Below are 23896 nucleotides of genomic sequence, written 5' to 3' on the forward strand. Positions count from 1 at the left end.
AGCCAAGGTGCCTGCCTGGGGACACAGGGTGCCATAGGCACACAGAAGGGCCCAGGGTGTGGACTTAGGGTGGTCAGGGGAAGGAAGGAGTTTGCCCAGAGAAGAGGCAGGAGGGAGACAGGAAAGGTAAGCAGAGGCCAGATCCTAGAAAGACCATTTTGACTTTGTGCTGAGGGCGATGGTCTCATGATGCAGATTTTAAGCAGAGGTGAGAGAGGGAGAGATTAGCATTTCAGAAAGCATGGCCTCTGCCATAGGAAGACAAGATCAGAGGGAGGTCCAAGCTGGTGGCCAGTGGTGACGGGGCCTGAGCTGGAGGAGACAGGGATGCACTGGAGACCCAAGAGAGAAGTCCCTGAACGCGGTGCACGAAGAGCCTCTGGGGTTACAGGAAGGAAGGGGTAAAATGTTCTTTTCTGTGTCCAGCTTAGGCCACTGAATAGATTCGGTGCTGTGTGTTGTACTAGGAAATGCGGAGGTGATGGGGATTGTTTGGGCTGGAGTCTGGAGGGGCTGTGCCCCACCCCAAGCTGGGTGAGCATCTAAGGTAAGTGAGGGCTGTGCCCAAGACTGCATGAGCAAATCCAGGTTCTCCTACCAGCAAGCTGCCTTGAAGACTCTGAGGCTGGAAATGTATAACCTTGTCCGTACCACTGAGCACCTGTTACCCATACACATTACTGTTCTCCAAACCACGGAACAACTTGAAGGATTGTTTTGCCAGACTAAAAAGTGAAGAAAGCACTGGTTTCCTTCCATGGTGTTCCTCTTTAAACCACACCTTCTCAACCTTGTTTAGGGAGTGGGGATGGCCTTCAGGAGCTCCAGAGGCCCCCCCTGCCCGAGTCTGACTCCTGGTTTCTGGCTTCAACAATGACTAACCTGTAACTTCACATTTTGGTCTATAAAGTGGGTAGAAATGTAGCACCTCTGCATTCTCCAGGTTTGTTGTGAGGACGAAGGAGATAATGAATGTAGAATTTTTTTTTTTGAGACGGAGTCTCGCTCTGTCGCCTAGGCTGGAGTGCAGTGGCGCGATCTCGCCTCACTGCAACCTCCGCCTCTGGGGTTCAAGCGATTCTCCTGCCTCAGCCTCCCAAGTAGCTGGGCCTGCAGGGGCACTCCCAGCTAATTTTTATATTTTCAGTACAGACGGGGTTTCACCATGTTGGCCAGGATGGTCTCAATCTCTTGATCTCGTGATCCACCTGCCTTGGCCTCCCAAAGTGCTGGGATTACAGGCGTGAGCCACCGCTCCCGGCCATGAATGTAGAATTCTGAGCCCAGGGCTGGCTCACTGGGAGTGGGCCACACATTTAGGGGGTTGTTGTTGTACACATGATCATCGGTGGCACTGCTTTGCAGCCTAATGGTTTTTGACACATGTGTTCCTTCTTAATCCTTAAGCCAGCACCTTGAGTTGGGTGTGATCAACTCATTGAATTTTTTAACTTCAGCTGTGACATTATAGATCATCTAGCTCTGCTGTGACCTTATTTTGTAGATGACAGGGCTAGGGGTTACCATCCCTCTTAAGGCCTAGGGCCTGGGTGTTCTCACACCCAGGTTGCGGTTTTTGTCCTTGTCTTCTGGAGGTTCGTCTGCATTTTATTTTTTTTTGTTGACGATTTGTTGACGAGGCTGGAGTGCGGGGGTGCTATCTCGGCTCACTGCAGCCTCTGCCTCCTGGGTTCAAGTGATTCTGCTGTCTCAGCCTCCCGAGTAGCTGGGATTACAGGGGCACACCACTGCACCTGGCTAATTTTTGTATTTTTAGTAGAGACGGGGTTTCACCGTGTTGGCCAGGCTGGTCTCAAACACCTGACCTCAGGTGATCGCCCACCTCGGCCTCCCAAAGTGCTGGGATTACAGGCATGAGCCTCCATGCCTGGCCTCATCTGCATTTTAGGGTCCCTGTTTTACAAAGGAGCAGTCCCTATTTTACTTGCAGATGGGCAGTAGTGTCAGATCCTCACTGGGGTGGTCAGGGAAGAGGAGGTGTTTGGAAGAGGGCCCCAATGGACCTCTGGCCTGCGGGATTGAGATCGGGCTGGCCAGCTCTCCTCTCTTTCCTCAACAGAGTCTGGGTCTCACCCTGCCCAGCAGCTTTCTCTTCTTCCTAGAAGTGCCCAAGACAGGATCTTTTCAGTTCTGAGATCTTCCACCCCTCGCACGGCAGCCTTCCTGCCCCTGCCCAGGCTGACTTCACACCATGCTCTGTTATCCCAGGTCCTAGGCTCGCATCGGCCACTTGCCACCATGTTGGTGACTGCCTGCCCTCTACCTTGGATGGTGCGGTCCACGGGGCAGGACTGGGGTTTGCCATTTGTGTGTCCCTGGTGCTTCTCTCAGTGTCTGACACCTGGTGAGATTTGCCACCTGTTTGGTGCATGGGTGAGTGTGGTTGTTTACACTAGCGTTGTTATTGGAAATCACTCAATTCTTGTTCTCACCCACTCCTGCCTCCTCTGAGAAAAAGTGTGGCAGAAAAGTTCCCTGAACTACTAACACAGGGGGATTTAGCACTCTTAGATATTTTTAACTTTTCCATAGAAAGGCAGCACCCCCCACCCCCCTCCACCCTTTTTTTGAAGCAGCAGCATTTACAAATATTGAAACCAACTTTGTACATCTCCACTCTGACTTCTGGGCCTATTTAATAAATATTCACTCAAACATGTACTATGTGTCAGGCATGATTTTTGGCACTTGGGAAACATCAGGGAATGATGTTTGGGGAGGAAGCTGATCTAGCTGGGGCCCAGGTGGGGTTGGAATGGAGGAATGGAGTCCTGCCCTAAATCCAGCATGGCCTTTGTCCTGCGTGCCTTGGGACCTGGTCCTGGTGGTTCCCTCCACTTCTCTGATTCTTGGTTTGAATATATATTGACTGAAGAGTTGGAATAGAAATATCTTCGTATTCTGTTTTCAGTTCTAGGATCGTTTATTCGTCCAGTAACGTTTGTCAGGGGTTGAATGTCGAGTGGAGAATGGCTGAATTTGCACTGTGAGGGAACTCACAGCTGGAGGGAGATCCCCACAGGGACTGCGAAGGCTTATTGCAGATGAAGGAGTGCCATGACGACGATGACCCCCAGGAGCGTCCTTCCAGGACAAGCAGATGGGTTCAGGGAAGGCTGGGCAAAGAGGGGCAAGTCAGCCATGCCTGGAGAGGAGCAGCATCTGCTGGGAGTCCTGTTTTGACAGTTGTCATTCCCAGATGTTCGGTGGTGTGTTCCCTGCAGCAGGCCTGCATGCACCTGGATGTCAGAGTGGGAGGCCATTAGCTCACTGGTTCAGAAATAGTTCCTGGTTATGCCTGTCTTGTGGTGGCCCATTCTCAGCTTGGCGGATACAGCAGCGACCAACCGAAGCCACCAGTGGGAGCAGAACTGGAGGATGGAGGTCCTCGGAAGGGTTCTAGCCACACTGGGCTTCAGACCCTCCAGAGTCAAAGCCTGGCTTCCTTCTCCTGCTGGAGGCAAAGGCCCTTATTGTTTTTTTGTGGCTGCAGTAACAAATTTCGACAGATTTGGTAGCTTAAAACAACAGAAATTTATTGTCTTACAGTTCTGGAGGCCAGAAGTCTGAAATCAAGGTGTCAGCGAGGTTGACACCCTCTGAGGTGCTAAGGGACACCCTTTCCTTGCCTCTTCCAGCTGCTTGTGGCACTGGATGTTGCTCGGCTTGTGGCAGAATCATTCCAATCTCTGCTCTTGTCTCCACGTACCTTCTCTATGTCCGTCTCTCCTCATGTTTTAGGGCCTCCAATGATCTCATCTCAAGATTATTATTTTTAAACAACTTTATTTAATTTTATTATTATTTTATTGATTTATTTTAAGAATGGGGTTTTACCATGTTCCCCTTGCAGCTCTCCTACTCTTGAGCTCAAGCCATTGTACTGCCTCAGCCTCCCACAGCATGGGATTACAGGCGTGAGCCCCCACTCCTATCCAAGATTCTTAACTTCATTACATCAGCAAAAGCCCTTTTCCCAAATAAGGTCATAGGCACCAGATTCTAAGGGCAATATCTTTTTTCGGTGGGTGAAGACAGCATTCAACCCACACTAGTAGGCCCCAGCACTTCTGGGGAAAGCCAAGGTTTAGACCTCATATCCAGATGCTCTTTTCTGTGGTTTTGTCACTTTTTCTTATCTTATATGAGAAATATATACATATTTTAAAAAGGTAATTAAAATTTTGTTGATATAATTTCACTTTCACATTGAGTAAAAGCTGCAAGAAGAGTACAAAGAACTCCCTCATATACTTTACCCAAGTTCACCAATGAAAAAATGTTGCCCCCTAAGTGGGTATAATGTACACATTTTCTCACAGCCAGTTGGCAGATTCATCAGAGCCTCAGGCTCCCCCTACCCCTCACAGCGTCAGACAGAGAGTTTACCATGGGGCTGGACAGTTATGATTGGTTTCTCAGGCAGCTGCTCACTCTAAGGCTTGCTGTAGGCTCTGGCGTTACATCTGTCACTGGGAATGTGGCATCGTCCTGGCACAGTCACAGAGAGGCCAAAGACACAGCTCTGTTCACCCCCCATTTAAAGCCAAATGGCCATCCTGGGTCCTGGGGGACCCTTCCTTGTTCTCTCCACTCTGCCCTTGGATGTGTCAGTTGCAGGCACTTCAGATGCAGTAGAGTTATTTAGAGAAGGCGGCTCCCTGCACCGCCTGCTGCCTTTTGGTCCATTTTGAGCTGGGTGTCCGAGCCTCTGCCCTACATCTAGGAACTAACAGAGTCAGGTGTTGGGTGCAGAACAGAGATTGGCAGGAGATGAGCAGGCTGTTCAGAGTCCGCCAGGAGCTCTGTGCTTGAAGCTCTGAAGAGCTTCCATCCTACCTTCCTGATGATGCAGACTTTAGGTGAGGGGGAGAGGCAAGGAGGTTACAGGATTTACCTTTTGGAAAGACTACTTTGATATGAATGCAGAATCAGGGATGGAAAACCAGTGAAAGAGAATGTCACAATAAATAGTATAATTGAAAGTCCAGTTTTAGAGGTTTTGCCAGAGGCACATGGAGGGGGTAGCTTGCTTGGTTTGCATTAAATTAAATTGCATTACTTAGAGTCCCTATAAATGCTGGTGGATCAATGTAGCTGATGGTTTCATAACAAAACAAGAATGATAATAACAGCGTCTAAGAGAATGCAAACGTTAATAGTACAGTGTTGTTTTTGATCCTGCCACTGTATGGTATTGAATTTACCTGGGTTATGGAGTCTCATAATTGTACCAAAAGCTGTGGAAAGAGTCAGGGAGAGTATTTTTGCCCCCATTGTGGGGATGAGGAAGCTAGAGGTGACCTGAATTGCTGAGGTTCATGCACCTAGTAAGTAACAGAGCTGCACTTGGACCCTGAGTCTTAGAAAAAACCCCACACTAGTTCTTTTGCTGATTTCTGAGCTATGCCCATTTCTCTCACTATGGAATTGTTTTCCACTATACCTCTAGGAAGCTAAACTGGGACATAACTGGGGCACAAGATGGGGGATGGAGCTTGCCCCTCTTCTCAGCAGCCAGATAAGGCCTTGGGAGCAGTGAAGAGCTTTCTGTAACCTGAACTGCCTGACATCCTTGCCCTTAGCCACGTGGGGCTGTTGAACACTTGACCTGGGGCTGTAGCAGCTGAGGGACTGCAATTTTTGTGTGAATTAATTTCAACAGACTTAAATTTAAATAGCCCTCCCTATGTAGCCAGTGGCCACCCCATTGGACAGCATATGTCAGCGCTGTAAAAGTCAAGTGTGAGCCACAATGGGACATAGGAAGGACTTTTCAGGAAACCATTTGACTGTTGGGATTCTCCTTTCATCTTTTAGGGGTATGGTGGGGAGTACCTGCTGACGGGGATATTAGAATGCCTTTCTTTTTTTCTTCCCTTGATGTGCCGAGACTCCATGCCCCCTGTCACGGGTATCCCAGAGCTATGGCTAGTGGGTTTGCTGGCTGAGATGGGTCCTGAGCCCTAGGCCCCTTTGCCCCAGAAAGGAAAATCCCGAGGAGGCAGCTGATGCTAGCCCTGGAAGACTTTAATTCGAGGGTGGCACACCTGACAACGCCTTGGGTAATGAGTGTTTGTTTCTGGAGGCTCATGGGACACCCACCCCAGGGCTGATTGCAGGTTGGATGCTGTTTGGTGAGAATGGATGCATACCCACCCGCTGATGACAAAGGGACAGGTCAGAAGGACAGGGCCTTTCTTTGAATGGAAAACCTGACCCGGGATCTCTCCTGGAAGATGAAGAATGAACTGGGCAGTGAAGTGGGGAGAAGGAGAGGTTAACTTCTGGGGGGCTTAGAGAAGAGGGGGGAAGGAGGAGAGGAGCCTGGGATTAGTCCCACGAAGGCTGCGCTCTTGTTTGCCCAAGTCTCCTCCTGTGTGGGACACAAAGTGGGCTTGTAATACAATACTGGCTCAAAGGAAGAAAAACGGCAGAGGCTAGCACTGGGGCCACCCTGAGCAAGTGGTGTGTTCATCTGTGCATGTTCTGGACAGTACCACGAGGTCAGTAAATGCTTCTGCCTGGCATCTACCACAAAGCTCATTCCAGAGGGTGCTCTGTGGCCCTGCCAAGAATAAGGCCTCGTCAGGAAAGGCTCACCCTGTATTTTCCCAGCCTACTTTGAGCCATCTCCTGAATAAAGGACAGCTTGCCTGGGCAGTACCGCTCCTGCCACAAAGACGGAAAGGAAAAGTATGGCAAGTGCTTTAAGACTCCTTTTAATGTCAGCTTTCTACATCCAGATAAGGAGAAGAGCTCACGATGGTCCTGTAACTTGCCAGACATCTCACAGGAGATTCATTGCTGAGTCTCTGAGCACACACAGGCTCCCTTTACAGACTGGAAAAGTCTTTCTGGTCAGTTTGCCTCCACTGACATTTATTGAGCGCCTGTAGTATGTGCTTGGATGCTGCCTTGAGAGGGCGCTTTGGGTTTGAAGGCTCCGGAAACGTATGACTTTGGAGCACTCATTCCTATTCGGTGCTGACCTTTGTTCACATTTGTGCTCAGCCAACAATCCTGTGTAGGAGAGTGGAGCCTGACAAATGTTTATGGAAGGTCTGCCTGGCTGACTCCATACACAGATTGCATAGGGTTTTCCAAATGGCAGCTGGGGAGAAGTTCTGGATCTGTCAGAACTGATTGGGAGAACCTGCAAAACAGGCAGGGGTGTATACGTCCCTTTTCCAAAGTGACCCTCCTGCCTGGCTTTTGGGAACAGGATCTGTCCTCGATGGTCCCTCACTAACTGCCTGGCTTCCTAACTGTTGCAGGTCTGGGGATGTCTGTTGTTAAGACACCATGCATCTGGATGCCTGTTGAGTGTAGAGTGCTGGCTCAGCTGTAGGGTGGGGTGGGATGGGGGGTGGTTTGAAACCTCTTTCAAAAATACCATTAGGGAGACACCAAGACAGCACTGACGTGGATGCAGAACGTAAGTGCTCTTGGAGATGAGGTCAGCACATGAAGCTTCTCTGATTTTACAGTTGCCACCAGGGACGCAGGATTATGTTCCTGTTAACTGAAGACACAATGAGAGGCCTGGCTTAGGCAAAAGCTGGCCAGTAGGGTGTATCAGGGAGGCCCTAAAAGGGTTAGTACAGTGGGTGAATTGTATCCCCTAAATAGATATGTTCAGGTCCTAACCCCTGTGCCCTTGAACGTGACCTTAGTTGGAAGGATCTTTGAGGGCGTAATAAAGTTATGGTGAGGTCATCTTGGGGTATGGTGAGCTCTTAATCCAATGAAGGATGTTTTTCTAAGAGAAAGGACACGTGGATACAGACACACTCTGGGAGGAAGGCCATGTGATGATGGAGGTGGAGATTAGAGGGATACAGCACCAAGTCAAGGGAGGCCATGGATTCCTGGCAGCCACCAGAAGCCAGGAGAGGCAAGGAAGGGTTTCCCCTCAGAGGCTTCACAGACAGCACGGCCCTGCTGTCCCCTTGATTTTGGACTTGCAGCCTCCAGAACAGTGAGAGAAAACATTTCTGTTGTTTCAAGCCACCTATTTTGCGACCATTTGTACCCTGAGAATCTAATACAGAAGGGAATCTCATCCTATCTTGAGGTGATGGCTTTCCTAGACTCCATTTAGAGCAAGGAATTGCATGTTTATAAGCGAACTTTGACACTTGCCTCTGCTGATATGGCTGGGAATCCTCTCTTTCATTCTTCATTATTAATGGGTATTTATTATGTCATAGGACTTGTCATTAAATCTGCTGAAATCTGGTAATCCAAGCCTCCAACCCATAGTTTGCATCAACCAGGTGGCGACCCCCAGGCTCTGCTGGTTTCCATTCCTTTATCTTGATTCCATTCCTTTATCTTGATTCTCCCTGGCCGAGAGCTTTTCTGACCCACCTAAAATCTGTTCATTTCAGACCCCGGCCTTTCCAGGATGCCTTTTGGAGCCCCTGCTGGCCACCACATATCATGTTCTGAAGTTCTACAGCCCTCTGAGTTGGACACTGACCATCTGGGGGCTCGAGTCATCCTCAGATTGGTATGCAGCCATTCAAACATTCCTGTTTGTTTCCTGTGAGTCAGCATTGTGCTGGGCTTCCAAGGAATCTGCAGTCCTCTTCACTGCCTCTTCCTGAGTACTCACTGTGTTCCAGGCTTCTCTCAGCCCTTCCTGGGTACAGTGCTAGGAAGTAAAGAGTCATATCCACTCCAGTAAATGATTGCTGAGTGGATGAATATAGCTATTTTCACCACCAAGATAAAGATGGGAAAGTGAGACTCAGAAATAAGAAACTTGCCTAAGGTCTACACAGTTTACCAGTGCAAGTGCTGGGATTGAACCCTGGCCTGTCTGACATAGAGGCCACTATTGGCCCAGGACAAAAGCTTGTCTGCAGAGGACAGAGCAGGAGCAGCGCTGTCCATCCAGTCTGGGCGATATTCTTTGCAGTGGGCCCAGGGGTGATAGGAACTTGTTGCATGGATGAAGTGGAACTTTTCTTCCCAGAAAAGAAGACAAGAAGACAGGGCTCTGACACCCATGGTCTCCAGCAGCCCTTTTTGCCTGGAGCAAGTATGCCCAACCCCCCTTTGGCTCTTGAATAAGAAGGAAAGGCCTTACCATATGAGCAGGAATTGTGCATCCAGGCATGTGGCTTACTCACCTTTCCTGCTATGCCTAACCTTCTCTTCTCCTTTCTCTGTCTCCTCAGACCCTCAGGGGGCACACATTTCAGCATAAGCTACAGAGTTTTGTCCGCATTCACATTCCTCTCCATCTGCCATGATTTGTTTTTTTTTTTTTTTTTTTTTTTTTTGAGATAGAGTCTTACTCTGTCACCCAGGCTGGAGTGCAGTGGCGCAATCTCAGCTCACTGCAAGCTCTGCCTCCCAGGCTCACGCCATTCACCTGCCTCAGCCTCCCGAGTAGCTGGGACTACAGGCGCCCGCCACCATGCCTGGCTAATTTTTTTTGTATTTTTAATAGAGATAGGGTTTCACCGTGTTAGCCAGGATGGTCTTGATCTTCTGGCCTCGTGATCCGCCCGCCTCGGCCTCCCAAAATGCTGGGATTACAGGCATGAGCAACCACGCCCAGCCGACTTGTTTTTTTACTAGCCGTCAATCTCCAACCCTCTGTCACAGCCTAACAGGTGCCAGGGGGAAGACTTAGGACTGGGGTCTCATCGTTGGTTATGGGCACTTTAGGGTTAAATAAAGCTATGTAAGACACCTCCCCAAAAAATAAAAACAAAAACTAAAGACCACCAAAGAAAGTAGGAAACCTCAAAAAACTGAGAATCACTATTACCTTAAAGCCCAAGTGCTCTAGGAGGAGGCAAAAGAAAATGAAAACAGAGCAGGTTATGACTCAGCTAACTGATGTCATGGCTGTTACATGTCCCATCTCATGTCATCTAAATCAGGGGCCAGCAAACTGACAGGCTATCAGTTTTTGTAAATAAAATTGTATTGGCACATAGCCATGTCAATTCTTCTATGTGCTATCAGTGCTGCTTAGGTACCATTATAACAGCAGAGTCTGGTCCTGACAGAGACCCTGTGGCCTGCAAAAAGCCTAAAATAGTTTCTGTCTAACCCTTAAAGAAAAAGATTGCCAGCCCCGGTTCTAAACTGCACTTCTGATTTCTAACTAGTCGGAGCTATTTTTTTATGGAGGGCAGACAGTTTCTCATTTGCTCTGCATAGCAGGCCTTGGCAGCCGAGGGCCAGGGAGGAGCTTGCCCAGATCATGCAGCCAGTCCCTACACAGCTGGCATTCACCTCCAGGTCTGCCTGACCCTGAAGCCTGCACCCTGATCCCCTGCTCCTCTGCCTCCATCCCCTGCTGGGCCTCTGCAGGAGACGGTCCAGGCCCACACTGCTTAGAGAGGTTTCCAAGAGTACATGATCTGTTAGGGATTGTTTGTGACAGTTAGCTTTCAGGTGAGAGCTCTTGAGAAGACCGCCTATATCTCTTCCCATGCAATAGCTCCAGCCCCCTGCCCTGCACTGGCATAGAGCAGGGGCCCAATAATATTTTTTGATTAAAGGAAGGAATCAATGAAGAGGGCAGCCCTCAAGCCAGGGCACTGCAGTGTAGCATAGAGCAGCCCAGCCTCTGGAACCCATGCCAGGCCACGAGTTCCAGTCTGCTATGACCTTGGACAAGGTAGACTACCTCTCTGGGCCTCGCTTTTCTCATCCGTAAAATGGGGATAAGGACAGCATCAACCCCAAATGCCCACTGTGAGGTTACAGGAGCTACTGCAGGTTGTGTGCATGGAACATTCTTAGCATATCTGTCACCACCGGGACAGAAACGGGCTGTTATTATCGAGGCTTCAGGCTGTTTACTGAGGATTCTTTAGAAATGGAGAAAGGAAGAGTAGAATGCTGGTCTTCGGACAGTCCGGCCAAGTGAGACTGTCAGGCAGATGACTGTGGTGAAGATGGCCCAGCAAGCCCCTCCTCTACTCAGATCGCCCTTGGAAAAGCCAGTCTGAGAATTGCTGTCCTGGTCTCTTCACTGGGGCTGGGAAAGGCAAGGCATCTGGCCTCAGCCTCCCTGGACACCTGCTCCTGAGGAGCCTGCAGATTCCTCAGGAACTACTGCTGCACTCCAGTGTTGGGATGGCAGCAGCAAGACCTTCAAGCTGCATGCTGGGGCGAAGTTCTGCCCCAGGGGCTTGTGTTCACCCCAAGACTGTCAGTGCGCCACCCATATTGGTCAGGTGCTTCCCAGTGGCCTCCGTGGGGCAGGCCACTCCAGCCGGCCAGCTTTCTTGCTTTGCAGAAAGTCACTGGGCTGAGCAGCAGGCAGGGAGTTGGGGAGCCCCTTGCCATTTATTTGCTGGTCACTCACAGGGTGTTCGATGGTTTCAATTGGAGCTGTTGAACTGTGGCCTAAGTCAATTATCACTGGGTTGCTCCTGCTTGAGTTAGATGTGCCCCAACCCAGTGGCACAGTGGAATCAGCTTTAAAAATAGCTGTGCGTTGGGAGACCGAGGTGGTCGGATCACAAGGTCAGGAGTTCAAGACCAGCCTGACCAACATGGTGCAACCCTGTCTCTACTAAAAATACAAAATATTAGCTGGGTGTGGTGGCAGGCACCTGTAATCCCAGCTACTCAAGAGGCTAAGGCAGGAGGATCACTTGAACCCAGGAGGCAGAGGTTGCAGTAAGCCGAGATCCCGCTATTGCACTCTACCCTGGGCAACAGTGCAAGACTCTGTCTCAAAAAAAATAATAATAAATAAATAGAAATAGCTTTGCCAGGGTTCCGCTCCCAGAGAAGCTGATGACATAATTGCTCTGGGAAGGACTGGGGCATCTGTGCTTCTTGAAGCTCCCAGGTGATCCTAATGTCAGCCAAGTTTGAGCTGTATATTAAAAAAAATTTTTGATTAAAACAAATTTTTAGAGAGAGAGTCTCATTCTGTCACACAGGTTGGAGTGCAGTGATGTAATCATAGCTCACTATAACCTCGAACTACTGGCTTCAAGCAATCCTCCCGAGTAGCTAGGACTACAGGTTCATGCCACAATGTCCAGTTAAGTTTTTATATATGTATATATTTTTTGTAGAGATGGAGTTTTGCTATGTTGCCCAGGCTGGTCTTGAACTCCAAGCAATCCTCCTGCCTTGACCTCCCAAAGTGCCAGGATTACAGGTGTGGGCCACCATGCCTGGCTGTTCAGCTGCATTTAGTCATTTACCTGTGTGCCCTCCCTTGCCATGTGTGCACACCTGGTACCTGAAGACCTGGGAGACGAATCAATGACAGGGGTACATAGGAAATAAGAATAATGGAGAGAGCCACCAGTTAGTGAGCCGCGACTACTGCCAGGAGCTACACTAAGTACTCACCATGCTGCTAGGAGGAAAGTTCTGAAATGTCCCCATTTTATGGATGTGAATACTGAGGTCATGGGGGTAAAATAACATGCCCAAAGGCACAGAGCTGGTACTGTTGGAGTCAGAACTAGACTTAGGTCCCCTGTGATTCCAAAGTGCTACCTTTGCCTTGGCCACCCCTGCTTGGACTTTCAGTGAGGACAACTGTGTGTTGGGATTGTGGTCCACACTGGAAATCCCAACTAGGTCCCACCTGATGGAAAACTAAAGTTCCTCATTACTTCTAGTGCCAGTGTAGAAGCTGACCCAAGTTGCCTTTTTGAAAAAAAAAAAAAGAAGGCCAAACACGGTGGCTCACACCTGTAATCCCAGCACTTTGGGAGTCTGAGGTGGGTGGATCAACGAGGTCAGGAGATCGAGACCATCCTGGCTAACATGGTGAAACCCCATCTCTACTAAAAATACAAAAAAATTAGCCGGGCGTGGTGGTGGATGCCTGTAGTCCCAGCTACTCGGGAGGCTGAGGCAGGAGAATGGCGTGAACCCGGGAGGAGGAGCTTGCAGTGAGCCGAGATCGCACCACTGCACTCCAGCCTGGGGACAGAGCGAGACTCCGTCTCAGAAAAAAAAAAAAAGAAGACATAGTTTAGGAAATTCAGTATTTATTTCTTGGCCTCTCAGCAGGGCTTTATATTTTCGAAGGGTGGGCACTTAAATTACACAGATTGGGTTTTTCTGTTCCTCTTTGAACACTGGGCTGTGTGAGGAGGAGGAGGAAGAAGACTGAATCTTACAGAGCTGAGATGATCAGATACTGCCGGATGTGCCATGGGGCCTGGAGAGCTGACGTTGCTAATATATCACCCCATTGGTGCCTACAGTTTCCATTCTCTGATTAGAGATCATATTTCTTTGACTTGATGCTCAAATGCCTCTGAGTTTGATCCTTTCTCATATCCTGAATTCTATTTCCAGTTCCCCAGAGTTTTATCCTAATTTTATCCATTATTGAAGTTTTCCCAAAAAAAGTCAGCATCATCATCATCATCATCATCATTATTATTAATTTTTCTTTTGAGATGGAGTCTCACTCTCACCCAGGCTGGAGGGCAGTGGCACAATCTTGATTCACTGCAACCTCTTTCTCTCGGGTTCAAGCAATTCACCTGCTTCAGCCACCTGAGTAGCTGGGACTACAGGTGCGCACTGCTACACGGCTCTAACTTTTGTATTTTTTAGTAGAGATGGGGTTTTACCGTGTTGGCCAGGCTAGTCTCAAATTCATGACCTCAAATGATCCACCTGCCTCGGCCTCCCAAAGTGCTGGGATTACAGGTGCGAGCCACTGCACCCAGCCCATCATCATTATTGATGTCATTTATTACACAGCATTGTATTTCCAAAGAATAGATACGGGTGAGAAAACAAAATCAGTAACTCTTCCTTGACTAATCAGATTGTTTTCAGATATCTGATATGTTTTGTCTTTACATTAATTAATGATTTTATATAGTCATAGGTGTAGGGAATAGTTTGTAGTCACTTTTTTTTAATCCTAAAGCGGAAACATTTTTATTATAATATATCCTAAACATTTGATGTACCCTAAATATTTTTTCATTTTATTAAAGCAGCTTACAAATGATCATTTTTAGAGAGTATATAATGCTTCATCAAGTGGACAAGTCATATTCTAAATCAGTTCTCTGTTGTTAAAAATTAAAGTGCCTAGTAGTTTGCCGTTACACTTCTAAGGGTGCCATGAGCATCTTCGTGCATATAACCTTTTTCTTCTTGGAAAATCTTTTGGACAGATTCTCAGCAGGATTATTGAGTCAAAGGGCACAGTTTTATGACTCTTGTCCCACATTGCCAAATTACTTTCAAATAAGGTTGTTTATGCTGCTTCCATCAACATGTGGACATGCCAGTTTCACCACAACCTCATCAACACTGGGTATTATTAGCTTAAAAAAATTATCATTCAATGGATGCAGAATGATCTCTTGTTAGATTTATATATTTTTTTATCCTTAGTGAGGCCAATTTTCTTTTTTGCCTCTGTGTGTTTACCAACTCTCTTTGGGAATGCTGACATTGGCTGCTCCTCCAGCCAAGTTCGTTACTTTCCATGTGGATGCCTTCAAGTTGAGCCAGTTGCAACGCAGCCTTGACTTAAAATGAGCGAGCTTCAACATTGAGCCTTTGTATGAAATTCAGCTTAGCACACTGGCCCCTGAGTTTGAAGGCTGAGATTGCAACACCCTGCTCTTCACGTCGTGGGGTTCTGCATGAAATCACTGAACTGGCCTTATGGTCTTTATGACTTCAAACTTAACAGTTGTCCCCCTAGATTTGTCTTATGAGCTAGGCAGGGTTTTTCTTCAGAAAGCTTTGAGATACAGCTCCTTCAACTATTTTTCGGTTTCCTAGCTTGAAAAACGAAGAGAAGAAAAGTCCCTGTGTGTTCATGTTGTCTCTTTATTTGTGGGGCTGTTGTGTTTCTAGATGGTTTTTTCTGGTTTTCTCTTGCTGCTTCACTCACCACATCCTGTGGAGCTGGAGGCTTCTCTAGCCCTGTTTGTCTCTGCCTGTCTGACATTGAGTGCCTGGAGCCCTCCCTAGCTCTCCAGCTGGAACCTTCCTCTGTAGGAAGGCTGAGGCTAGCAGGGAGAAGCCAGGATGGATTTTAAAGAGCCTTGTTGTCTCTAAGGAAGAGTGGAGCTTACATCTTTGGGTTTGCAGAAATGCCCACATTCAACTCAGGGGGAATAAAAGGATGGGAGTTAGAATTTCAACTTGCAGTTGCAGAATCTCAGAGTTAAAAGAAACCTCAGAGGTCATCTCTTCCAACCCTTCTCCAGAGCAGCTTTAATTGCCTGTGTGGGAGATTCAGGGCCAGCAGCTGCAGCTTCCCTTTCCCTGCCTCTGACTTGCCAGGTGAGTTTAGATGAGTTCCTTGCTTTCTTGAGTGTTTATTATTATTACTAATAAACAAGAGGATGAATATTTGAAGTTCTTCTGCTGTCTTAAAGCCCTCAAACTCCACTGGCTACTGAAATCTTATATGCAAGCTTTATACCTGTAACTTGTTAAAGGAGAGCTGCTTTGATAAAAATAGGGTTATAGTCCTCCTGCTGAACCTCCCATCTCCACCTGGCCCCCAGAAGTCACTCAGGAGGCTCTCTTGACCCCCTAGGGATTTGTGGAGTACAGTTGGAAAGGGTGGCACTGTGACCTATGGTTATAATAACACCGGCACCTACTTATTGAACATTAACCAGGCATCAGGGGCTTGGCACAGGTCATGTTCAGTTCTGACAGACACTTTGGGGGCTCTGTATCCTTATCCCCATATCATATATCAGGTCTGAGCCTCAGGGAGGTGCTCGTTGCTCTGCCACACAGAGGTCACACAGGAAGGAAGTGGTGGAGACTCAGTTCCAGCCCAGGTAGCTCAGCAGCAAGGCCTGTCTGCTTCAGCTCTGAGCTTTACTGCCTCTTTGTGACTTGTGACCTTCAACCTGACACACAGCATCCCAGCCTTCCCTGGAGTTTGGTTTTTTGAGTTGTCATCCCACCTGCCATCTCTGACAGCCCCAGTATTTAGTGTTTTAGGTGCTCCCAGATCCACGATGTGTAGTAATAGGCTAAAGGCATCAGTGTTCTCTAGAATACTTCGTACCACTTAGCAAATAGCCTCTGTGACGCCACTGGTTTTGTGATTTTCCCAAGCAAACTTTACTATCCCTTTCTTATTGTCCTCATCACTTACTCTTGTTTGCACAAAGCCCAGGCTCTAATTTATTCCCCTTGTCCTTAATCCTCTCATCTCTTTCTCCAGGTATCACCCTCAGAAATAAGGATGTGCAGTAGGTCTGGTGGGCATCTGAATGAGGATGGCCCCCAGGGTGTGTACATTTCCTGGGGGGAAACTGAAGCTGGAGTCTGGGCTTCTCAAGTGTGGGTTCTGCCCCTGAAGCTGTTTTCTCACAATGGAGGCTCCAGGTACTTCCTAAGCCCCCATCTGCTGCAGGAGATACCTGAAGAAACTGTGGACAGTTCAAAGGTTGGATTATTTAAGAAATCTTGGCTGGGCATGGTGGTTCACACCTGTAATCCCAGCACTTTTGGGAGGCTGAGGTGGGCGGATCACTTGAGATCAGGAGTTCGAGACCAGCCTGGCCAACATGGTGAAACCCCATCTCTACTAAAAATACAAAAAAGTTAGCCTGGCATGGTGGCACATGCCTGTAACCCCAGCTACTCGGGAGGCTGAGGCTGGAGAATTTCTTGGACCCAGGAGGTGGAGGTTTCAGTGAGCCGAGATCATGCCTCCACACTCCAGCCTCGGCAACGAAGCCAGACTCTGTGTCAAAAAAAAGATACCTTGTATCAGTTCTGACACTTGCATTACTAGCTGTCACCCAACACCTTAGTTCCATAAGCTTGAAGGCTTCTTATCACTATAGGATTAAGTCTGTAAACCGCAGTTGTAAGTTCGGTGCCTTCTGTCAACTGTTCATCTCCCCTGGTTGCAGGCATGTTCTCACCCACGTCCGTGGTGATGGGTGTTAGGTGACAGCATGCTTCCCCATGCATTGCTGGGCTATCCTAGTGACAGTGTTATATTTACCCCAGCATCTGATGAGCAGAGCAGAGTCAGGGCTTATGTGCTAATGTCTTGTTGCTCTTCTCTTCTCTTGCATGCTTACTTCCACACTGTCACTTCTTTCAAGCTGCTGATCACAAGTTACGTCTTACAGGAAGTTCTCCATGAGTAGCTTACTTCTCTTTCTCTTTTTTTTTAAGAGATAGGGTCTTGCTCTGTCACCCAGGCTGGAGTGCAGTGGTGCAATCATAGTTTACTGCAGCCTCAAATTCCTGGGCTCAAGCAATCCTTCTGCCTCAGCCTCCCTGAGTAGCTGGGATTATAGGTGTGTACCACCATACCTGGCTAATTTAAAAAAAAATTTTTTTTTGTAGAGACAGTATCTCACTATGTTGCCCAGGCTGATCTCAAATTCCTGGCTTCAAGTGGTCCTCCTGCTTTGGCCTCCCAATGCACATTCCTGAGCCACCACATCCAGCCTTAGTTGTCATGTTTTTGTTTATTATTATTATTTATTATTATTATTATTAAACGGAGTCTCGCTCTGTTGCCCAGGCTGGAGTGCAGAGGCGGCACAATTTCGGCTCACTACAACTTCTGCCTCCTGGGTTCCAGTGATTCTCCTGCCTCAGCCTCTTGAGTAGCTGGGATTACAGGCACGTGCCACCACACCTGGCTAATTTTTTTGTGGTTTTAGTAGAGATGAGGTTTCACCATATTGTCCAGGCTGGTCTAGAACTCGTGAAAACAGGTGATTTGCCCTCCTTAGCCTCCCAAAGTGCTGGGATTACAGGTGTGAATCACCGCACCCGGACCATTATTATTATAATTTTTTTTGGAGACAAGGTTTTGCTTTGTTGCCTAGGCTGGAATGCAGTGGCAGAAACATAACTCAGTGTATTCTTGAACTCCTAGACTTAAGCTGCCTTGCTAATGTATTTACGTGTGTGTCTGTGTTTGTAGGTCTCACTATGTTGCCCAGGCTGATCTCAAACTCCTGGCCTCAAGTGACCCTTCCGCCTTGGCGGTTGCCATTTTTAGCATTATTGTTATTTGGACATTGTGATTAATACTTTACACAAATGACACAATTTAACCTGTACCAAATAATCATCTTTCATTTATTGTCTAACAATAAACTCAACCAAATGTGTAAGTTCATCTATCTATTTGTCCATCTGGTCATCATCTAATCACCCAACAGAAGTTTTACCAAACTCCTTTTTTATATTAGGTGCTAGGTGAACAAAGTTGAAGAAAATGGGTCTCTAACTCAATGAGCTGGGATTCATCCACGCATTCAAACGATCACAAGTGTTTGCACACTGCTCACTACCCTTGCTTGTTGATGCCAGCCTTGAGTCCAGGCTTTCCATCCTTGTCAGCAAGGTGTTCCCACAAAGTAGCTCCCATTTGCTATGATATGTTTGCCCTTCTGGTCCTGGAACCTTCATCTTGGTGACACAAGGCCTGAGCATCTGTCATATAAACCTTTGCGATGCAGGCTGTGTTCTCTAGGAAACAGACGCTAAGATGTAGATTAGCAAGTAGGATGTTTATTATGGGATTCCTTTGGGATCAACAGCTGTGAAACTGAAGGAGAAGAAACCATAGTTGGGCAGAGGGAGAAGTGGAGCTGTAACAATGTCCCAACAAAGGCCAATGCCAGAGGAGCCTGGGAGCTAGACTGATCCTTCAGAATTGTCCTGAATTGAGGTGAGGGTTGATCAGTCATTTCATGTGCCCCCGACCCCACCACCCAAAGGATGCCTAATCTTGAACAAGGTGATTGTATTCGGCCAAGGCAGTTCCCAGAGAGGGCTGATAGCTGATGGTCATCTGCCAGCACTTTAGTAACTGCTTTAGAAGAAGCCTGGATGGAGAAACATCTGCTTTGTTTTTTTGTTGTGGTGGTGGTTTGTTTTCAGTGAAAGGGTCTTGCTCTGTCACCCAGGTTGGAGTGTATTGGCATGATCATAGCCCACTACAGCCTTGATCTCCTGGGCTCAGGCGATCCTTCCACCTCAGCCTCCCAAGTAGTTAGACCTACAGGTCCATACCACAGCATCCGGCTAATTTTTAAAATATTTTTGTAGAGATGGGGTCTCACTGTGCTCCCCAGGCTGGTCTTGAGCTCCTGGCATTAAGCGATCTTCCTGCCTCGACCTCCTGAAGCGCTGGGATTATAGGTGTGAACCACTGTGCCTGGCCAAATATCTGCTTTGCTTACCATTTTATCCCCAGTATCTAGTACATAAAAGCACACAGTATTGGGGGGAATGGAATTACCTAAGCTTTACGGAAGCACTGTGAGTAATTCATTTAGCAAATATGTATATCTATTATGTTCCTATGACATGTCAGTCACGATTACTACCCTTACGGAGGTTATAGTCTAGGGGGTTTGGGCTGAGCGGTGGCTCAACACTGACTTCCTGGAAGAGGCAACCTGCATACTGGGGGCGTGACTTCCTGGACGATGGGCTCTGGGCCAGCGTTGGGCTCAGTGTTTCCTGGGTTCCCTAGAAGGTGGCTTATTGAGCTGGAGACTTGAATGGATATGGGATGTTTTCTCAGGGAGGGGGCTCTCTGTTGCAGCCCACCTCTGGGCGCACCTGTCCACCATAGGAAATTCCCTGCTTCACTTACCTTCATTGACGTTTGAACTCCCAGGAGCCTGGAACTTCCCCAGGTGCCCCATTGGCTTGGTGACTTTACATCATTACATCAGTTGAGTAATTGAAGAATGGAGGAACCATTCTTTTGAGCTAAGTGGAAAAATATATTTTCTCCTCTGTGAGTCACCAAAAACTACAGCTTCTTTTTTTTTTTTTTTTTTTTGTTTGAGACAGAGTCTCGCTCTGTTGCCCAGGATATAGTGCAGTGGTGCAATCTTGGTTCACTGCAATTTTCACCCCCTGGGTTCAAGTGATTCCTTGCCTCAGCCTCTTGAGTAGGTGGGATTACGGGCATCCACCACAACACCCAGCTAATTTTTGTATTTTTAGTAGAGATGGGGTTTCACCATGTTGGCCAGGCTGGTCTTGAACTTCAGACCTCAAGAGATCCACTGCCTTGTCCTCTCAAAGTGCTGGGATTATAGACGTGAGCTACCGCGCCCAGGCTTAGAGCCCAGCTTATACCCAGTTACTTAGCTTCTGTGTGTGTGTGTGTTTGTAAATGAACTATTATATTTCAGGAAGTTCCTAGCAGGGAGGATGAGATGGAATCAGTGAATTTTAGATCTCAAGGAGAACTAGAGATTGCTTGGTCCAACCTCTTTCCTCTGCAAGAGGGCCCTTGTGGGGAAGGGACTGGCCAAGGCTACCCAAAGAGCTTGGAGAGAGGTGCAGGGCATGTGACCATGTGCAAAGCATTTGCCAGTAGAGTTCGGCATTTTTTCCTGGCGCGTTCACCTCCTGACAGGGCACCAGGAAGGTGCTGCACAGCCTGGCATGTGGTGGGTGGTGTTTATCTGCACAAGTCACCCAAGTGATCAGAACGCTTTTACGGAAAACAATGGCTTTGATGTTCTGGGTGACAAGACCAAAGCATGCTGGCGGGAAGGGAGGTTTTTGGGGTTAGAGAAATGAAAACTATTTACATTTAGGGCTGACTTAATAACTTAACACCTCTGAAGTGGGAGGATGTTTTTGAGGGAAAGTTGAATGTAAGTGTAGTACAAAAAGGAAAGTTTGAGGTAGAAGACTAGGAGTGGAAATACTTCTAATGGCTCAGGGAAAACGTCCTGGTAAGGTTGAACTTCCAGATGCCTCCTTTCTTCCCACACCCCCACTGCATCCTCTGTTTCTACGGTGAGATTTGCATGGCACTTTACAGTTTCCAAAGCATTTCCTCACATATTATCTTCTTCAGTCCTCCCAGGAGGTGGTGCCACCAAAGGCTGTCTGACCACACCTGCGGCTTTTGGAGGGAGCTTGGCTTGGAACCCAGGGTTCTCTGAGTCAAAATCCTTTTTTCCTGGGACAGTGGTGGTCCTCACATTCCCTTCAAGACTATAGACTTTAGAAGCCCAGTCTCTGGCGCTAGACTTCCTTCCTTCACCTACCAGGCTTCTCCCTCTGCAGAGGTCTTGGGCGCCTTTTGTGACCATTCTGTGACGTGGTTTCTTGAAATGTAAGATGGGGATAATGTGAGCACCTACCCACCTTCTTGGGTTGTTGTAGGGATGAAAACATCTTCACAGTTCCTGGCACCTATTGGAGTTGGATAACGATGTTAGGATTACTTGAGGCTGGCTTTCCTACCTTGTTTTAACAGCAGCTCTAGAGTTTCAGAAACATAAGGACTGGACTTTTGGTGATCAAATCTAAACACTCTCCAGTAAAATCAGTGATGCTGCTGACTCTGAGTCTTTAATCATTCTAGTCTCTTCACCCTCTGAAAACAAGAGGATGTGTAGCATAGTGAGCAACAGCTGTGTGCCGGGGACTCAGCATTAAGTAGCATGGGATTACTCATGACTTCGCACTCATGGCAGCCTCACAGGTAACTTTGTCAATTTCTTTTTTTCCTTTTATATTAAAAAAACAAAATGGCTGGGTTCAGTGGCTCATGCCTGTGATCTCAGCACTTTGGGAGGCAGGGGAGGGAGGATGGCTTGAGCTCAAGAGTTCCAGACCAGCCTGGGCAACACAGTGAGACTCTGCCTCTACAAAAATAATTAATTAATTAATTAATTAATTAATAAAATAAATGAATCAATTAAAAGAATTAAGAAAAACAAAACAAAACTTTTTGAATCAGTAAAGCATTTACAAGACACAAAATCCAAAAGGTATACAAAGTTTTCCAATGAAGACTGCCAACCCTCATGTCCCCAGACCCCTGTTTCTCCTCCCTGGGACACAGTTGTTGCAGGTTTCTTGCTCCTTCTTCCTGAAAGAGTCTGTGCATTATTGAAAAGAAGATGTGTGTCCATGAGTACATCTACAGACGAGTGTTGAGCACCTGTTGTGCACAGTGGTGGGGGCAGTGTGATGGGAGTACACAGGGCAGGGAGACACGGGTCTGGGCTCCCCTGAAGTTTGCAGCCGTATTAAGGGCTCGGCCTTACAGTGCGTGGGGCCTCGGCTTCAGAGGAAGGGCTGATCTTGGGGCTGGCTGCTGCTTGACTTGGAGTACCTGCCTCCCTCTGGCCTCCTGTTGAGGCAGCCTGGGGTCAAATCCCAGCTCACCTATGTGCCAGGCTGCTGGATGGCTCGGATGTGGCCTAATTATTTCCTGATGGCCCTGCCAGCCTGGCCATGGGCTGTAGGAACAGTAGTAGCCATCCATTTTTCTTTCTTCTTCTTGGACGGAGGTGGTGGTTCAAATGAAATTTCAGCCTTACCCTTTGTAGTTTTCTACGTAATAAATCCTAACATCTGTGATTAAGGTGACATAGGTTTTTTTGAGAAAGGCTTTGATTTCTTGCTTGCATGGATGGTTAATACTCCAGGCTCTTCAGGGTGATTCTCGCCCTCTTGTTCTGTAGCTTGTGGTCCTTATTTATTTTAATATAATTTAAAACTTGCAGAAAAAAATTATGAACATATGAAGAACTACTGCACACCCAGATCATCAGTTGTTAACTCACACTCCACCCCACCACCAAATACGCTATTTTTTCCTGATCCATTTGAGTAAGTTGTAGACATGCCCTTTCATCCCTAAATATTCAGTGTGTGCTCCCCAAGGATAACGACATTCTTTTACATAACGACTGTATAATTATCAAACTCAGGAAATTTAGCATTGCTGCAATTGTATTATCCAATCCTCAGGCCACACACAATTTGATCAGTAGTCCCAATAATGTCCCTTTTGACTATTTTTTCCCAATTATGGATCATTATTGCATTTAGTGGCTGTGTCTCATGTTCCCCAGTCATACTTGACTTTGATTTTTTTTTTTTTTTTTTTTGATATAGAGTCTCACTCTGTGGTCCAGGCTGAAGTACAGTGGCATGATCCCAGGTCACTGCAACCCCCACCTCCCGGGTTCAAGTGATCCTCCTGCCTCAGCCTCCCGAGTAGCTGGTATTACAGGCGTGTGCCACAAAGCCTGGCTAAGTTTTGTATTTTTAGTAGAGACGGGGTTTCACCATGTTGGCCAGGTTGGTCTCGAACTCCTGACCTCAAGTGATCCACTCACTTTGGCCTTTCAACGTGCTGGGATTACAGGCGAGAGTCACCGCACCCGGACGACTCTGACATTTTTGAAGAGTCCAGGTAAGTTGTTTTATAGAAACACTCCTCAGTTTGGGTTGAGACTGTTATTTTTGAAAGCTCATACTGCACCACTTGCTTTAATTCTGTAATCCTCAATGGTCCCCTATGGCTGCTGATCACGTCCGCGTCTCTGTAGATAAGAAAACGGAGCCATCGGGAAGTAGAGTGGTTTGTCAATAGTCACATTCCCAGCAAGTGGCAGAGCTAGGATTCAAATCCAGACTATCTGTCCTGAAACCTAATTTGCCTACCAGGCAACAGGAATAAGGACAACAATTAGACCCTGAGAATAACAAAGTGTTTATCAAGCACCCACTCTGAGCCAGAGGTTGTGTTGAGCACTCTGCAGACACTGCAGTACAATACTCCCATCCATCCCACCCCAGTCCAGGAGCAGCTGTTTTATGTTGTTGTTGTTTTGAGACAGAGTTTTGCTCTGTCGCCCAGGCTGGAGTGCTGTGGTACAATCTCAGCTCACTGCAACCTCTGCCTCCCAGGTTCAAACAATTCTCCTGCCTCAGCCACCCAAGCAGTTGGGATTACAGGCATACGCCACCATGCCCAGCTAATTTTTGTATTTTTAGTGGAGACAGGGGTCTCGCCATGTTGGCCAGGCTGGTTTCTTTCTTTTCTTTTCTTTCTTTCTTTCTTTCTTTCTTTCTTTCTTTCTTTCTTTCTTTCTTTCTTTCTTTC

General features: G+C 47.4%; 1 long non-coding RNA gene across 51 annotated transcripts in view, besides 3 other annotated features; it reads left to right on the top strand.

The window, feature by feature from the left end:
* Positions 1 to 23896, top strand: part of PVT1 (Pvt1 oncogene) — a 306733-nt gene that overhangs the window by 166478 nt on the left and 116359 nt on the right. For 18 of the 51 annotated variants that reach the window (NR_186144.1, NR_186156.1, NR_186131.1 and 15 more), the window contains one exon: positions 22903 to 23203. The exons of 29 other annotated variants lie outside the window; for them this stretch is intronic. This is a non-coding gene — a long non-coding RNA (Pvt1 oncogene). Of the gene's footprint in view, positions 1 to 8414; positions 8537 to 21358; positions 21479 to 22902; positions 23204 to 23896 lie in introns of all 51 variants that reach the window. 4 more of the 51 variants (NR_186120.1, NR_186123.1, NR_186142.1 and 1 more) reach the window with 2 other exon arrangements.
* Positions 3298 to 3909: an enhancer, noted in NCBI's record as "H3K27ac-H3K4me1 hESC enhancer chr8:128976545-128977156 (GRCh37/hg19 assembly coordinates)". NCBI's record gives its function as "activates a minimal SCP1, AML or CMV promoter by ChIP-STARR-seq in naive H9 embryonic stem cells {active_cell/tissue: H9 hESC(naive)}" and the evidence as "EXISTENCE:reporter gene assay evidence [ECO:0000049][PMID:30033119]".
* Positions 15847 to 15936: a silencer, noted in NCBI's record as "silent region_19535". NCBI's record gives its function as "represses an Ori minimal core promoter by ATAC-STARR-seq in GM12878 lymphoblastoid cells {active_cell/tissue: GM12878}" and the evidence as "EXISTENCE:reporter gene assay evidence [ECO:0000049][PMID:35858748]".
* Positions 19485 to 19534: an enhancer, noted in NCBI's record as "active region_27954". NCBI's record gives its function as "activates an Ori minimal core promoter by ATAC-STARR-seq in GM12878 lymphoblastoid cells {active_cell/tissue: GM12878}" and the evidence as "EXISTENCE:reporter gene assay evidence [ECO:0000049][PMID:35858748]".

Source organism: Homo sapiens, chromosome 8 (assembly GCF_000001405.40).
Source record: "Homo sapiens chromosome 8, GRCh38.p14 Primary Assembly".
In the NCBI taxonomy this organism is placed as follows: domain Eukaryota; kingdom Metazoa; phylum Chordata; class Mammalia; order Primates; family Hominidae; genus Homo; species Homo sapiens.